Below are 16,856 nucleotides of genomic sequence, written 5' to 3'. Positions count from 1 at the left end.
AATTAGCTGGGTGTGGTGGCACATGCCTGTAATCCCAGCTACTTAGGAAGCTGAGGCAGGAGAATCACTTGCACCCGGGAGGCAGAGGTTGCGGTGAGCCGAGATCGTGCCATTGCACTCCAGCCTGGGCAACAAGAGTGAAACTCCGTCTCACACACAAAAAAATAAAAAAAGAAACACTTTTATTTCTGCTAGGATAGGAGAGGAGCTGCAGGCAGTCTCTGTGAAGCATAGTGTCAGAAGCACCACTGGTAGTTATAAGACATGGAGAGGAATTCCTGACCTCTCAAGTAATGGAACACTTTGGGGACACTAGAGTGGAAGAAAGTGATCTTTGCCCCTGCCAAATGTGCTCAGTGTGTTTGTGAGACCAACCCCGTGACTTCAGTGTCTTCAGAAAACATTTGATTGAGAAATGATTGTGTTTTTATGTGAAACTCTAGCAACATGTACGTGGATAGACATGAGGTATACATACCCTTTAGGATAGAATGAAAAGAAATTTTCTAAACTTGCTGTGTTGAGGAAACAGATTTAATAGAACTTAAACCTTGCTATTGGAAGAAATCTAATCATTTGGACTTTAAAATAGACTGGTTACTGATCTGTTTGACATAGTTTAGGTAAAATCCTGTTTGAAATTTAGGCCATGGGGTTGGGCTCAGTGGCTCACACCTATAATCCCAAGTGCTTTGGGAGGCCAAGGAAGGAGTATTGCCTGAGGCCAGGAGTTCAAGACCAGCCTGGGCAACATAGAGAGACCCTGTCTCTACAAAAAATAAGTTTAGCCAGCTATGGTGGTGCACGCCAGTAGTCCTCCTAGCTACCTAGGAGGCTGAGGCAGGAGATTGATTGAGCCTGAGAGGTGGAGGCTGCAGTGAATCACTGTATTCCAACCTGGGCAACAGAGCAAGACCTGTCTTTAGAAAAAAAAAATTGGAGTAATGTATGATTGTAGTTGGTACAGATTAAATCTGTTTTTCCCAGGGGCCAGTACTGAAAAGACCTTGGTGCCAAACTACTTTTCTTAAGAGTGTTTTCCAGGTTTGTTGGGGTTTAACTTCTAGAATCTCTGACTGTGCTGTGTTGAACTTCCTTCCTTCCAAGGCTCTTTAGTTCCTTCCTCACCTCTTGGTTTCCCTTTTCAGGCCTCCTTGGAACAGAGCCGGTACATGGTCTTTCATTCTAGAATGATTCTGTGAGGGCTTGGAAGGAATCTCTCGAGGGAGAACATCATCATTCCCTTGGCCTGCTTGGGTCGCAGGTTGATGCTGGACACTTTTCACTACCATGAACTATTCTGAATTCTAAATTGGGGCTGGGCGCAGTGGCTTATCCCTGTAATCCCAGCACTTTGAGAGGCTAAGGCAGGCAGATCACCTGAGATCAGGGAGTTCGAGACCAGCTGGACAACATAAACCCTGTCTCTACTAAAAATACAAAAAATTACCTAGGTATGGTGGCACGTGTCTGTAGTCCCAGCTACTCAGGAGGCTGAGGCAGGATAATCGCTTGAACCAGGGAAGCAGAGGTTGCAGTAACCCAAGATTGCGGCACTGCACTCCAGCCTGGGCGACAGAGTTAGACTCTGTCTCAAAAAAAAAAAAAAAAAAAAAAAAGGAACTGGGGTGGGGGATCATTGAGTACAGTTATATTTCATTTTACAGACTCTTCTTGGGAGTCTATACAAAGTAAAAAGCTTTGGGTGAATTGGAGGGAGAGAGGGAGGTGCTGCTGGGTTTTGTAAAGGTTTTTAGACAGAGTCTTACTCTGTTGGCCAGGCTGGAGAGCAGTGGTGCAATCTCGGCTCACTGCAACCTACACCTCCTGGGTTCAAGTGATTCTCCCGCCTTAGCCTCCCGAGTAGCTGGGATTACAGGCATGTGCCACCACACCCAGCTAATTTTTATATTTTTAGTGGAGATGGGGTTTCACCACGTTGGCCAGGCTGGTCTCGAACTCCCTGCTTCAAGTGATCAACCTTCCTAGGCCTCCCAAAGTGCTGGGATTACAGGCGTGAGCCACCACGCCCAGCCTCGTAAAGATTAGTACAATATTAGATAGTTACTAAGAGCCAGCTCTAAAGCCAGTATGAATAATAATGTGTTTTGGCCGGGCGCGGTGGCTCACGCCTACAATCCCAGGACTTTGGGAGGCCCAGGCGGGCGGATCACGAGGTCAGGAGATTGAGACCATCCTGGCTAACACGGTGAAACCCCGTCTCCACTAAAAATACAAAAAATTCTCCGGGCGTGGTGGCGGGCCTGTAGTCCCAGCTACTCCAAAGGCTGAGGCAGGAGAATGGCCTGAACCGGGGAGGCGGAACTTGCAGTGAGCTGAGATCGTGCCACTGCACTCCAGCCTGGGCGACAGAGTGAGACTCCGTCTCATAAAAAAAAAAAAAATGTGTTTTGATTAGCAGGAGGTGGTTATCTGATGCAAGCAGTGAGCTCTTTCATTTTAGGTAGAATTCATTTAGATCTTACTACATTGCTGAATCAGCCCCCAAATGAGCAATTCACAGGTGCAAGCCCAGCTGCTGCTGCTGTGCACCTGGGTGTTTTCCCAGTGGACTGGTCTTTAATAATGGTTCACGTATCGAGTGCTTACTCCATGCCAGGCACTGTGCTATGCCTTTTACATACTTTATCTCTTTTAGTCCGCTGAGTGTCGCTAGGAGCTGGACATCTGTTATTATCTCATTTCCCTGAGGTGTTGAGTAGTTAAGTAACTTTCCCAAGGCCACACCATGGTTTCAAAGCCTGTAGTGGCATTCAGGTGTTTTGGACTCGCCTGAGGCCTAGCAAGCTTGGGGAAGATGGAAGGCAAAAGTTGGGGAGGGGTGGCTTTGGTATCCCTCCTGCGTTTGCTGTTGGTAAGGCCAGTGACCATTTCAAACATGTTGTCAACTTGGATGGGGTGGCCAGTTGGCCGAGCTCAGGGCCAGGTAACCTATTTAACTCCAGGATTGGAGCACCATGGGGTCACTGAGTGTAGACAAGCCGAACAAGTAGAGCTGGAGCTTCGTTCCTTCCTGGGCCCTTCCTTCCCTCATCAAAGGGAATCTTCTTATTTTTCTCTGCCTTTCCCTCCCTGACTGAAAACCGGTCTTGCTACCACCTAGGCTAGGCTGTTCTCTCCTTTCTGGCTTAGGGAAAAATACTCATGTGTTAAGGATGAATTTAGTAGTATATCAGGAAGCAAAGTAACATGAAAGGCAGAGAACTGTGCCAGAGAAGTGTGGTTTCAGTGTGCCAGCATTTTCCTGCGTATCTGTTTATTTGGTTAATTAGCACCTGCAAAGATGGTTATAGCCTCCTTTTTTTTTTTTTTTTGAGACGGGGTCTCACTGTCACCCAGGCTGGAGTACAGTGGCGTGATCTCGGCTCACTGCAAACTCTCCCCAGGCTCAAGCAATTCTCCCACCTCAGCCTCCTGAGTAGTTGAGATTACAGGGACGTGCCGCAACGCCTGGCCAATTTTTTGTATTTTTAGTAGAGATAGGGTTTTGCTAGGTTGCCAAGGCTGGTCTCAAACCCCTGGGCTCAAGTGATCCATCTGCTTTGGCCTCCCACAGTGCTGGGATTACAGGTGTGAGCCACTGCACCTGGCCTAGCCTCCTTTCACATGACGAAAATGCAGTCGGTGCACGTTAAGGGATTGTTCACTGCTTGTCAGTAGAAAAAACAGCCTGGAGCTTTGAGTTCCTCCTCCCAGGAGTATTATTTGCACTGGACTCATCTATAGGCCCAACACATGGACATCCACATTGGACATACCCCCGAATACCAAATGGCTAAGTGGTATCACCAAATGCAGGCAAGGAGTGTTTTCTTTCCATCCCATATGAGTTATATATATATATATAGTACATCATTTGGTGGACACTTAATATGAATCCCGAGACATTCAATTCTGTACCTAAATGTTCCCCCGTCCCCACTTTCAGGTGCCTGCTCTTAGATACTCAGGATAGCAGTGGCTGTTTTGTTTGTAAAGAGTCGCGACAGAGTAGATTTCCATGGGGAGAAAATCCCTAGGCCTGGTCTTCCATACCAGGCCTGGTGGAGCAGGTGGATGGCTCTTCCAGCAGCCACCCTGAGCTCACCTGACTCCGTGCCGGTAGAGCTTTACGGAGCTTTTGTTTTGTTTCTCTTGCTGGCCGACTTAGCAGCTTGGAACCAGGCTGGCTGAGTGACACGGGTCCAAAATGGGCTATTCTGTGTAACTTCTTGTTTCTCTCCGTTGTCTGCTAGATCGGTTAGCCCATCACCAAGTTTATGAAATGCTGCTGTGTGTTCAGCCCTGTGGAAGATGTATGATGGGAGAAGCGTTTAAGGTACCTGGGTACCTAACAAGGTGCCTGGCGTTTATTCACTCACTCATTCACTCAGCAGCTGTACACTGAGCTCCTCCTGTGTGCCAGGCGGTGTCCTGAGTGCTCTGCATGTAAAGATAAGGTAGACACGGCCCTGCCCTCATGGCTGTAGTGAAGGGCACTGTCACTGCAGCCGGCATTCAGTGAACTGTTAGTATTATCAGGAATATTCAGGCTCTTAATAATGAAACAATAGTGATGTCATTAATATAATAATGAGTGGTTTACTTTTTTTTTTTTCCAGTTAGAGTCTTGCTCTGTTGCCCAGGCTGGAGTGCAGTGGCACGATCTCGGCCCACTGCAACCTCCACCTCTTGGGCTCAAGTGATTCTCCTGTCCCAGCCTCCTGAGTAGCTAGGACTATAGGCGTGAACCACTACGCCCAGCTAATTTTTTGATTTTGTAGAGTTGGGGTCTTGCTATGTTGCTTAAGGTAGTCTTGAATTCCAGGGCTCAAGCGATCCTCCCGTCTTGGCCTCCCAAAGCACGGGGATTTGGTTTACTATCTTGATGAGATTATAGGAAACAAAGGTTTATCATATTTTCACACTGAGTGGTCTGTATATTTCTCTGTTATCAAACCAGCAGACTCTTGAGAATCAGCAAGGTGTTCACCTCTATAGTCCCAGCACTTTGGGAGGTGGAGAGGCAGATCACCTGAAGTCAGGAGTTTGAGACCAGCCTGGCAAACATGGCGAAATCCCATCTCTACTAAAAGTACAAAAAAAATTAGCTGGGTGTGGTGACATGTGCCTGTAGTACCAGCTACTCTGGAGGCTGAGGCAGGAGAATGGCTTGAATCCAGAAGGCGGAGGTTGCAGTGAGCTGAGATTGTGCCCCTGGACTCCAGCCTGGGTGACAGAGTGAGATCCTGTCTCAAAAAAAAAAAAAAAAAAGAAAAGAAAAAAAGGGCTGGGCACGGTGGTCACACCTGTAATCCCAGTGCTTTGGGAGGCCGAGGCGGGCGGATCACGAGGTCAGGAGATTGAGACCATCCTGGCTAACACGCTGAAACCCCATCTCTACTAAAAAATACAAAAAATTAGCCGGGCGTGGTGGCGGGCGCCTGTAGTCCCAGCTACTCTGGAGGCTGAGGCAGGAGAATGGCGTGAACCTGGGAGGTGGAGCTTGCAGTGAGCTGAGATTGCGCCACTGCACTCCAGCCTGGGCGACAGAGCTAGACTCTGTCTCAGAAAAAAAAAAAAAAAAGAAAAAGCAACGTGTTTTATTCTCTGTTGGCTGGAAGATACTTGATGTGAAGCTTCCTCACTCCTTTGGCTGCAGTAGCCATAAGCTCTTTGAATCAGGAGCTTTGACCCTGGGCTACTAAAAATACAAAAATTAGCTGGGCATGACAGCGCATGCCTGTAATCCCAGCTACTCGGGAGTTTGAGGCGGGAGAATCACTTAAACCCAGGAGGTGGAGGTTGCAGTGAGCCAAGATCATGCCACTGCACTCCAGCCTGGGCAACAGGCAAAAACTCCGTCTCAAAAAAAACAAAACCAAAACCAAAAACTGTATTGAGATGTAATTCACATACCATAATATTCACCAGTTTAAAGTATATAATTCAGTATTTTTAGTATGTTCATAAAGTTGTACAGTCCTTACCACTATCTAATTCTGGAATATTTTCATCTTTCCAAATAGAAACCCAGCTTTAGCAGTCTCTCCCTCCTCCCTCCTTCCTCTAGCAACCACTAATCTACTTGCTGTCTATGAATCTGCCTGCTCTGGACGTTTCATATAAATGGAGTCGTACACTATGTGGTCTTTTGATTGTGGCTCCTTTCACTTACCATGTTTTCAAGGGTTATCTGTGTTGTAGCATGTATCAGCACTTCATTCTTTTTTGTTGTTGTTACCCCAGTAGTGTCAAGCAAATATTATTTGATAGCCAGCTACGTTCATTTCACAAAAATGTTTTCCCAGCATTTCTACCTAAATGTTATTAGGTAACAGTGAAATTTGTATTCTTTCTTTTTCTTTTTCTTTTTTTTTCGAGACTGAATCTCGCTTTGTCGCCCAGGCTGGAGTGCAATGGTGTGATGTCAGCTCACTGCAACCTCTGCTTCCTGGGTTCAAGCGATTCTCCTGTCTCAGCCTCCCGAGTAGCTGGGATTACCGGCATGTGCCACCACGCCTGGCTAATTTTGTATTTTTAGTAGAGACGGGGTTTCTCCATGTTGGTCAGGCTGGTCTCGAGCCTCCCAAAGTGCTGGGATTACAGGTGTGAGCCACTGCGCCCAGCCGAAATTTGTATTATTTCTCTAGGGAAAATATTTGCAATTTAGCCTCTCCATATGATAATTGGGGGTGGGAGGTAGGTACAGAACTCTCACTTGTCCAGGTTATAAGCACATTTGGAGGGTAGGATTATTAATACTTTGGAAATATACAGAATATTACAAATTCTATAATTATAATCGTGAAAAGCATTTCTCATCTTTAGATGAGATCCGGTGTGTTCAGTGGGGTATGGCCATAGACAATGTCTTTAGAATAAGAGAAATGTGACGGTATTTTACATGCTTTTCTCATTCTTTCAGTCTAAGGTTAAGTATGTGAAACTTAAAGACTACTGTGGATTTTAGGAAAATCTGCTATCGTAATAGTTTTTCTCCACTAAAAAGCTAATTGAAATGATTCAGGACACAATTTCCAATAGAATCTTTCAGATGTATGATTCCCTTCAAATTTGCTAGTTTATCTATTTTCTGACCAATCTAACAAGTCAATAGGGAAATAGTATAGTGAAAAAAAGAAAAAAACAACCAATACTAGGTCAGTAGATATTACTTCAATAAATAAACAACATTTTGCAACAGCAGGAATATGCAGTCTTGCGTAGCATTCAAAGCCCCCTCTGAAGTTTAAGAAGCAAAGGTTTAGGAAGACTGAAAGGAGGAAGTGGCACAGTCATGACAGAAAACAATCAAGGCATAGATAGGAATTTCTGCCAAGTCAGGTCAAAGTAAGAGCACGTGTAAGAAATGCCCCAAAGGTGAGAATAACCGACGCATATTGAAGCAAGGGGTGGAAGTGGCTCCTTCCTTTTTATGGCTGCGTGGTAACTCAGTGTGTGGATATACCACATTTTATCAGTGGATGGGTATTGGGCTGTTTTCACTTTTTTGGCTGTTATGGATAATGCTGCTGTGAACATTGATGTACTTAGAAGATTTGTGTGGACATGTGTTTTCAGTTCTCTTGGGTATATAGCTAGATGTGGACAAGCTGTTTTCCGGACTGGCTATGTGATTTTACGTTCCCACCAGAAGTGCATGAACATTGTGATTCTGTACATCCTTGCCAATGCTTGTTGTCTTTTTTTTTTTTTTCTTTAGAGACAGAGCTTCTCTCTGTCACCCATCCTGGAGTGGAGTGGTGCAGTCATGGTTCACTGTAGCCTCGAACTCCTGAGCTCAAACGATCCTCTTGCTTCAGCCTCCTGAGTAGCTAGGATTACAGGCGCATACCACCATGCCCAGCTAATTTTTAATTTTTTTTATAGAGACAGAGGTCGCACCATGTTGGCCAGGCTGGTCTCAAACTCCTGGCCTCAAGCTATCCTCTCTTTTTTGCCTCCCAAAGTACTGGGATTATAGGCCTGAGCCACTGCTCCCAGCCGTTTGTTGTCTTGTGGATATGAAGTGATAGCTCACTGTAGTTTTGCTTTGCATTTCTCTAATGACTCAGGACTTGGAGCATCTTTTCAGATGCTTATTGGTTGCTTGCATATCTTTTATGGAGAAATGTCTATTCAAATTCTTTGCTTACTTTTTAATTGGGTTGCTTATCTTCATTGTTGAGTTGTAAGATTTCTTTGTATGTTTGGAATACTAGTCTTATTAGATTTATTTTATTTTATTTTATCTTATTTTATTTTTTGAGACAGGTTCTTGTTCTGTCACCCAGACTGGAGTGCAGTGGCACAATCTCGGCTCACTGCAGTCTGCCTCCCGGGTTCAAGCAATTCTCCTGCCTCAGCCTCCCGAGTAGCTGGGATTACAGGCATGTGCCACCACACTCTGCTAATTTTTGTGTTTTTAGTAGAGACGGGGGTTTCACCATGTTGGCCAGGCTGGTCTCGAACTCCTGGCCTCACGCGATCTGCCCCTCTGGGCCTCCCAAAGTGCTGAGATTACAGACATGAGCTACCATGCCCCGCCTCTTTGTTTATTTTAATGAGGCGGATGACACTGTTTCCCAGGGTGGCTGTAAACTCCTGGGCTCAAGTGATCCTCTTGCCTCAGCCTTGTTGAGTGTCTGAGATTACAAATGGATGCCACCATGCCTGGCTCCTTATCAGATATTTGATCTACAAATGTTTTCTTCCATTCTGTAAGTTGTCTTTTCATTGTCTTTTTTTTTTTTGAGTCAAGGTCTTACTTTGTCATCCAGTCTGGATCACAGTTCACTGTAACCTCCAACTCCTGGGCTTGAGCCATCTTCCCACCTCAGCCTCTGCAGTAGCTGGGACTACAGGCATGCACTCAGCTATGTATTTATTTATTGATTTGAAATGGAGTTTCGTTCTTGTTGCCCAGGCTGGAGTGCAATGGTGCGATCGCTGCTCACTGCAACCTCTGCTTCCCGGGTTCAAGTGATTCTCCTGCCATAGCCTCCTGAGTAGCTGGGATTACAGGCATGTGCCACCATGCCCAGCTAATTTTGTATTTTTGTAGAGATGGGGTTTGTCCATGTTGGTCAGGCTGGTCTTGAACTCCTGACCTCAGGGGATCTGCCTGCCTTGGCCTCACAAAGTGTTGGGATTACAGGTGTGAGCCACCGCACCCGGCCTCATTTTTTATTTTTTGTAGTGACACAGGGTCTTGTTACGTTGCCAGACTGCACTTGAACTCCTAGGCTCAAGCAGTTCTCCTGCCTTGGTCTCTCAAGGTGTTGGGATTATAGCCACTGCTCCTGGCTAGATCAAGTCTAATTTATCTATTTTTTCTTTTTATTTAGTTATTATTTTAAAATTTTTAATATTTTTAAAATTTTTAGCAGAGACAGGATTTCACCATGTTGCCCAGGCTGGTCTTGGACTCCTGAGTCACCTCACTTGGCCCCACCCCCCTTTCTTTTTTTTTTTTGAGGCAGGGTCTCATTCTGTTGCCCATGCTGGAGTGCAGTAGCACTGTCATAGCTCACTGCAGCCTCAAACTTCTGGGCTCAAGGGATCCTCCCTCCTCAGCCTCCTGAAGTGCCACTGTTACATGCGTGAACCACCACACCTGGCCTTATCTGTTTTTTCTTTTGTTACTTGTGCTTGTGTTGTCCTATCTAAGGAACTATAGACTAATCCAAAGTCACAAAGGTTAATTACTTTGTTTTCCTCTAAGAGTTTTACGGTTTTAGCTCCTTTTTTTTGTTTTTTTCTTTTCTTTTCTTTTCTTTTTCTTTTTATAGTTTTAGCTCTTTTGGCCACTAAGTTATTTCCCTGACTAAAGCTTCAGAGGTTCCTTTGAGCTGTTTGCTAAGGGTGGAGGTGGGGAGCTATTATCCTGTGACTTCCTTTCTTTGACAATTCAATCAAGTTCCTTGTCCTTGGGAAGCACTTCTTCTTGTAGGTGTTTCTAGTGCTTTTACAGTTTCTGTATTTCATGGTCTTTTTTTTTTTTTTTGCAGGTAACAAATGAAGAAGACTTTATTAGAAAATTGGACTGCAAACCTGATCAGCATCTGAAAGTGGTTTCCATTTTTGGAAATACTGGTGATGGAAAGTCTCATACTCTCAACCACACTTTCTTTTATGGTCGTGAAGTCTTTAAAACCTCCCCGACCCAGGAGTCCTGCACTGTGGGAGTGTGGGCAGCCTATGACCCAGTTCACAAAGTAGCAGTGATCGATACGGAAGGGCTCCTGGGGGCCACCGTGAATCTAAGCCAGAGAACACGGCTGCTGCTTAAGGTCCTGGCCATCTCAGACCTCGTCATCTATCGAACTCATGCAGACCGGCTGCATAACGACCTCTTCAAATTCCTTGGGGATGCCTCAGAAGCTTATCTGAAGCACTTCACCAAGGAGCTCAAGGCCACCACTGCTCGCTGTGGCCTGGATGTCCCTTTATCCACACTGGGCCCTGCAGTTATCATCTTCCATGAGACCGTGCACACCCAGCTACTGGGCTCTGGTGAGAGATGGGGTACAGTGTCACAGCTCAACCTTTATGGGTACAAGGAGGCAGCTATTTGGTCTGCAATAGCAACTTGTTGGTAGTGGATTGCCCAGAAAGATTTCTGTCCAAAGAAGACATAGAAAGTGTTTCAAGGAGGATGGAGTGATCAAACATGTCAATCTGCTTATAGGTCAACTAGCATAAGGATTGAGAATTGCCAATTGGCTTTGGCAATATATAAGTCCTTAGTGATCTGGATAAGACCTGTTCCCTGAGATGGTGGGGGGTAAAAGCTTGATCAGAGTGAGATCAAGAGAAAATAGGAGGAAGCCAGGTACAGTGGCAAGTGCCTGTAATTCTAGCTACCTGGGAGGCTCATGTGGGAGAATCCCTTGAGCCCAAGAGTTAGAGATCAGCCTGGGCAACATAGTGAGGCTATGTCTCTAAAAAAAAAATAAGATTAGGAGAAGAATTACTTTATTCAATTCTTTGACAGAGTTCTGTAAAGCAAAGAAGAACAATGAGATTGTAGCTGGAGGCTGATGTGGGATTTCAAGGGATTTTTCTTTTTTAAAATTTAAGATGTGACGTATTGCAGATATTTATGTACTGATGAGAATGATTCATTAGAGAGGGAAGAATGTAGATGTAAGAGAGCAGGAACAGTTGGAGTGATGCATGAGTGGAAGGGTCGGCCTTAGGACCACGGACAGTTCATCCATAACAATGGGAAAGAAAGTAGACAATATGGACACGGTCGCAGATAAGAAGATGGATGTGGACATGGGACGTGTGTGTGTAAGTTCTTATTTGTTTTCTTAGAGAAATAGGAAGCAAGATTGTCACCTGAGTGGTAGGAGGATGGGGGAAAGGTGCAATAACAGATTAGATAGGAGGGGAGCAGTAAATTTGGCTCCTGAAACAATTGCAATCTTCACTTGTTCATTCGGTCATCAAAGTTTATTGAGTGCATATGTCATGTGCTGAGCACTGAGGCACAGAGCAGAAAAAACACTTCCTGTCTTTGAAGAGCTCACAGTCTAGTTGGGGCGACCGCACGGTGTTCTGTGCATACCTCCGTACTTACAGGTACGGTGCTGTGGGAGTCCAGAGCAAGGACACTACACCTTATGGAATCTAGGAAAGAAGAGGCGACATTTGAGCTCTGAGAGACTTGGCTAGATGGAGGAGGGGAAGAAGATGCTCTAGGAAGAGCAAACTCCTAGTAGCTTCAAGGAACAAATTGCGTTCAGAGAACTGCAGGTAGGGCTGGGTGTGGTGGCTCACACCTGTAATCTCAGCACTTTGGGAGGCCAAGGCAGGAGGATCCCTTGAGCCTGAGAGGTTGAGGCTGCAGTGAGCTGTGATCGTGTTATTGCACTCCAGCCTGGGCAATAGTGAGACCCTGTCTCAAAAAAAGAAGGAAAGAAAAAAGAGACAAGGGAAGTAGTTCTGCAATAACTTCCAAAATTCCATTCTAACTCCCTTCAATGCATTCTCCATGTAGCATCCAATGTGATCTTTTCAAAAGCTTAATTTACACTTCAGATCATGTATACTTCTGCTTGCAGCCTTGTCAGTGGCTTTTGACTACATCAAAATCCAAACTCCTAAATGTAGTGCCATCACTTTAACTCCTACCTTTGTCTCTGACCTCCTTTAGTTACCCCTTTTCATTCTCCCCCTGCCCACTGAATGCAGCCCCTCCCCTGCCACCCCGACTGCCATGTTTGAAGCATGGCTTGTGTGGGAGGGAATGATGGAGAGACTCAGGGATCAGATCATGGGTGGCCTTGACTCAGTTCTCAAGTATGGCAGGAGTCCATGAAGGATCTTAAGCAGAGAGTTAGATGGCCAGATCTATATTTTCAAAAGATTCCCTGGCAGCCTATTGCAGGATGACTGAGGCAGGGGGACCAGTCAGCAGGATATCAAGTCACTCAAGTGAGAAGTGGTTGGGATTCAGCCAGGGCAGTGGCAGTAGGAGGGAAGTGCACAGAGTAGGCCATAAAGGAGGTTGAATCTGAAGGACCTGGCACCAGTTGATTCTGGTGGTACCAATGACACATGCCCTATAGAAGATAATACATGTAAATGTTCCCCAGTGAAGGAGCAGATTAATTAGCAAGTGCCTCGAAGATAAGGAGAGGAGGTGACAAATGCTGACTTTCAGCTGCCTCCTGTGATCAATACTTTTATGCCACTTTGGATCTTTACAGTTTTAGTGAGGGGAAGGTTTAATTGCCAGTTCAGGATTTTGAAGTAACCAGCCCCTGAAAAGTTATTGTATTTTAGGCTGAGCACGATGACTTCTGCCTATAGTCCAGCACTTTGGGACATTGAGGCGGGAGGATCACTAGAGCCCAGGAGTTTGAGACCAGCCTGGGCAAAATAGCAAGACTCTGACTCTACAAAAACATTAAAAAGTTAGCCAGTTGCAGTGGTACATACCTGTGGTCCCAGCTCTTTGGGAGGCCAAGGTGGGCGGATCACTTGAGGTTTGGGGTTTGAGACCAGCCTGGCCAACATGGTGAAACCCTGTCTCTACTAAAAATACAACAATTAGTCAAGTGTATGGTGGTGGGCACCTGTAATCCCAGCTACTCAGGAGGCTGAGGCAGGAGAATCGCTTGAACCCTGGAGGTGGAGGTTGCAGTGAGCCGAGATTGCACCACTGCACTCCATCCAGACTGGGCAACAGAGTGAGACTTCGTCTCAAAAAGTAAGTAATTAAGTAAGTAAGTAAATAAATAAATAAATAAATAAAAAGGAAATTAAAAAGTCCTTTCAACCTTTATCACCGATACATTTATTGAATCCATCTGTGCTATGGCTGCCCAAGTTTCTGGACAAATGATGAGAGTGTGGGCAAGCAAATACCCTTATACATTGGTAGTTTGCCCAGAGCTTCCTCACAAAAGACCAGAATTTTCAAAGTACAGAGAATTGTAAAAGTTCATCAGGAAGGTGATTAGTTAAGTATATCCACAGGATCGAAGACTGTATTGCTGCTTTTGAGTGTATTGTGACAAGGACAGGTACTTACAGTATGTTATTAAGTGAGAAAAGAGCAAGTTGCATATATATGTTGCTAAGTCTGTAGGAAAAATGTCTGAAAGGGCCAATATTGAGCTGTGGTTACTTTCGGGAAGTAGGTGAGAGCAGAGGACATAATTTCTTTCCTTTTATGCTTTGGCATATCTAGATTTTTCCAATGAATGGGTTTTTGGGAAAAAAGACTCCTCCTTGAAGTGTAATGTGCATACAGAACAGTGCGTATCATATCAAGGTATCATGTGATGAGTTTTCACTGCCTGAATGCCCCTGCGTACTCAATGCTAGACCATAGGACACCAGCCCTCCTCATAGAAGCCCTCCTCATGTCCTTTACCAGGAAAGGGTAACCTGAGTTCTCACAGCATAGATCAGCTCTGCCTGCTTATGTACTTCATGTACATTGAGTCAGAGTATCTTACTTTTTTTTTTTTTTTTTTTTTTTTTTTGAGACAGCGTCTCGCTCTGTCTCCCAGGCTGGAGTGCAGTGGTGCGATCCCGGCTCACTGCAACCTCTGCCTCCCAGGTTCAAGCAATTCTTCTGCCTCAGCATCCTGAGTAGCTGGGATTACAGGCGTGCACCACTAGGCCCGACTAATTTTTGTATTTTTAGTAGAGATGGGGTTTTACCACGTTGGCCAGGCTGGTCTCGAACTCCCGACCTCAGGTGATCCACCCACCTCAGCTTCCCAAAGTGCTGGGATTACAGGTGTGAACCACTGCACCCTCCCGTATCTTACTTTTTTTTTTTTTTTTTTGAGACGGAATCTCTCTCTGTCGCCAGGCTGGAGTGCAGTGGCGCGATCTTGGCTCACTGCAACCTCCACTTCCCAGGTTCAAGTGATTCTCCTGCCTCAGCCTCCTGAATAGCTGGGATTACAGGCACCTGCCACCACGCTTGGCTAGTATTTTTAGTAGAGATGGCATTTCACCATGTTGCCAGGATGGTCTCCATCTCTTGACCTGGTGATCCACCTGCCTCGGCCTCCCATAATGCTGGGATTACAGGTGTGAGCCACCGCACCCAGCCTCGTATCTTACTTTTATAATGAAAGATTTTTGTTGTTGTTGTTTGAGATAGAGTCACTTTTGTCTCCCAGGCTATAGTGCAGTGGTGCGATTTCAGCTTACTGCAACCTTCGCCTCCTGGGTTCAAGCGATTCTCCTGCCTCAGCCTCTGGACTAGTAGGGATTACAGGCATGCGCCACCACGCCCTGCTAATTTTTTTGTATTATTAGTAGAGACAGGGTTTCACCATGTTGGCCAGGCTGAACTCCTGACCTCGGGTGATCCACCCACCTTGGCCTCCCAAAGTGCTAGGGTTACAGGTGTGGGCCACCGTGCCTGGCCTACTTTTTTTTTTTTTTTTAAATGTCACTCACTACCCATGTGCCTGTGTTTCTGCTTGTATAGATCATCCCTCAGAGGTGCCAGAGAAGCTCATCCAGGACCGGTTCCGGAAGCTGGGCCGTTTCCCTGAAGCCTTTAGTTCCATTCACTACAAGGGAACGAGGACTTACAACCCTCCCACGGACTTTTCTGGGCTTCGGCGTGCTTTGGAGCAGCTACTAGAGAATAACACCACCCGTTCTCCCCGGCACCCGGGAGTCATCTTCAAAGCCCTGAAGGTCAGTTGGCTTGTGCCCCAAGGGCTTCTCATTGGGGTGCCAGTGGGTGGTGAGAACACTCAGTTCGCCAGCTTTTGTGGTGCTGGTGATTGGAAATCTGGGTGGAAAGAGGTTATAAGAAGCGGAAGCACATGAATGGAGTCCGCACCTGTCAGATGCTTTCATCTTGCCAGGAGTGCAAATATGGGGAAGTCATATGTGATAGTAAAAAAAGTGCCCGGTCCTCAGCTAGGAGAAAAACCAGGCACTCATTTCTGGCTGGTGTGGCTCAGCCCTGGTGAGTTGGTGTCATGTTGAGTCTCACTTAATCTGGACAGCCTTTATGCTTTTCTTAACATTGACTCACTGTTTTTTTCTTATTTAAATTAATTTATTCATAGAGGAAACTTTTTGTTATCACTATAAGCGGAAAACTAGTATCACAGGTAGAAATTGTTTTTTGTTCGGGGGGCGTTTAGGAGCAGAGGTTTGATAGGCAAAAGAAAGAGAAAGAACAGCTCTCTCTCTCTTGCAAGGGGCGGGGGGGGCACCTGAATGGGACCTCCCCCCAGAGGTAGAAAATTACCAAAACAAAACACAAAAATAGATACACAATAACACTACTATTTGTTATATACCAAAGTTCAGAGTACTCTGTATGGATTAGTTCACTTAATCCTTACACCAACTCCATGAGTTAAGTACTGTTAACATCCTCATTTACAGATGAGGAAACGGAGGCACCAAGAGATGTAGTAATTGGTTATACACAGTTGGTGAGTGACAGCAGGCCTAACACCTGGCCAGTTTACGCTAGAGCTCCTTCTCATAACCACAAAGCCTGTACTGCCTCTCAACAAATAAAATCGCCTATTATTCCTTAGCTAGAGACTATTACGCATGGAAGGTTCTGAGACTGGGTCCTGTTTTTTCTTTCTTTAAGAGGGAGATTTACAGCCAGGCGTGGTGGCTCACGCCTGTAATTCCAGCACTTTGGGAGGCCGAGGCGGGTGGATCACTTGAGGTCAGGTGTTTGAGACTAGCCTGGCCAACATGGTGAAACCCCCTTTCTACTAAAAATACAAAAAAATTAGCCGGGCATGGTGGCGCACTCCTGTAATCCTAGCTACTTGGGAGGCTGAGGCAGGAGAATTGCTTGAATCCGGGAGGCAGACGTTGCAGTGAGCCGAGATTGTCCCACTGCACTCCAGCCTGGGAGACAGAGCGAGATGCTGTCTCAAAAAAAAAAAAAGAGGGAGATTTGGCCTCTTAAAGAGAGGTGGGGATTAAATGAAAGCATACTTAAGAGACAAAGTACTTGTTATATAGTAAAAATGTTCAGTGAATGTTAATTGTGAATAATATTAAGGAAAAACTATTGAAAATGATTACATTTGAATAATTCATGAAATACATACATTTCCAGTTAGAATTTGAAGTTCAAGTGCACTTAGTTGTATTGGCTAATAATGTCCTTGTAGTGGCTCAAAGGCAGTGAAAACGGAAGATGACGCTTACCTAATGCAAACATTCTGAAAAGACGCTGAATCAGGCAAAGGGGCTGTAAATCTGATCACTGTGCATTATAAGGCAAATAGGCCAGAGGCTGGATTATAGCAGCTCCTTTGCTCTTCTGGAAGCTAACCCAGATTAATGTTTAAGTAAGACCATCAGGGGCCGGGCGCGGTGGC

General features: G+C 45.5%; 1 protein-coding gene across 5 annotated transcripts in view, besides 1 other annotated feature; it reads left to right on the top strand.

Annotated features, from left to right (window-relative positions):
• The window catches only part of ZFYVE1 (zinc finger FYVE-type containing 1), a 57,662-nt gene that overhangs the window by 18,778 nt on the left and 22,028 nt on the right, over window positions 1-16,856 (top strand). For 3 of the 5 annotated variants that reach the window (NM_001281734.2, NM_021260.4, XM_047431481.1), the window contains exons 3-4: window positions 10,014-10,518; window positions 14,972-15,186. In NM_001281734.2, coding sequence (NP_001268663.1) covers window positions 10,014-10,518; window positions 14,972-15,186 — 720 coding nt within the window. Of the gene's footprint in view, window positions 1-10,010; window positions 10,519-10,920; window positions 11,302-14,971; window positions 15,187-16,856 lie in introns of those variants that run through there. The other 2 variants (XM_047431482.1, XM_017021373.2) reach the window with 2 other exon arrangements.
• Window positions 10,261-10,461: a silencer, noted in NCBI's record as "peak2195 fragment used in MPRA reporter construct". NCBI's record gives its function as "represses an SCP1 promoter by STARR-seq MPRAs in K562 erythroleukemia cells {active_cell/tissue: K562}" and the evidence as "EXISTENCE:reporter gene assay evidence [ECO:0000049][PMID:32103011]".

Source organism: Homo sapiens, chromosome 14, assembly GCF_000001405.40.
Source record: "Homo sapiens chromosome 14, GRCh38.p14 Primary Assembly".
Lineage (NCBI taxonomy): Eukaryota > Metazoa > Chordata > Mammalia > Primates > Hominidae > Homo > Homo sapiens.
The sequence above is the reverse complement of the archived record's forward strand: the minus strand, read 5'-3'. Positions and strand labels throughout refer to the sequence as shown.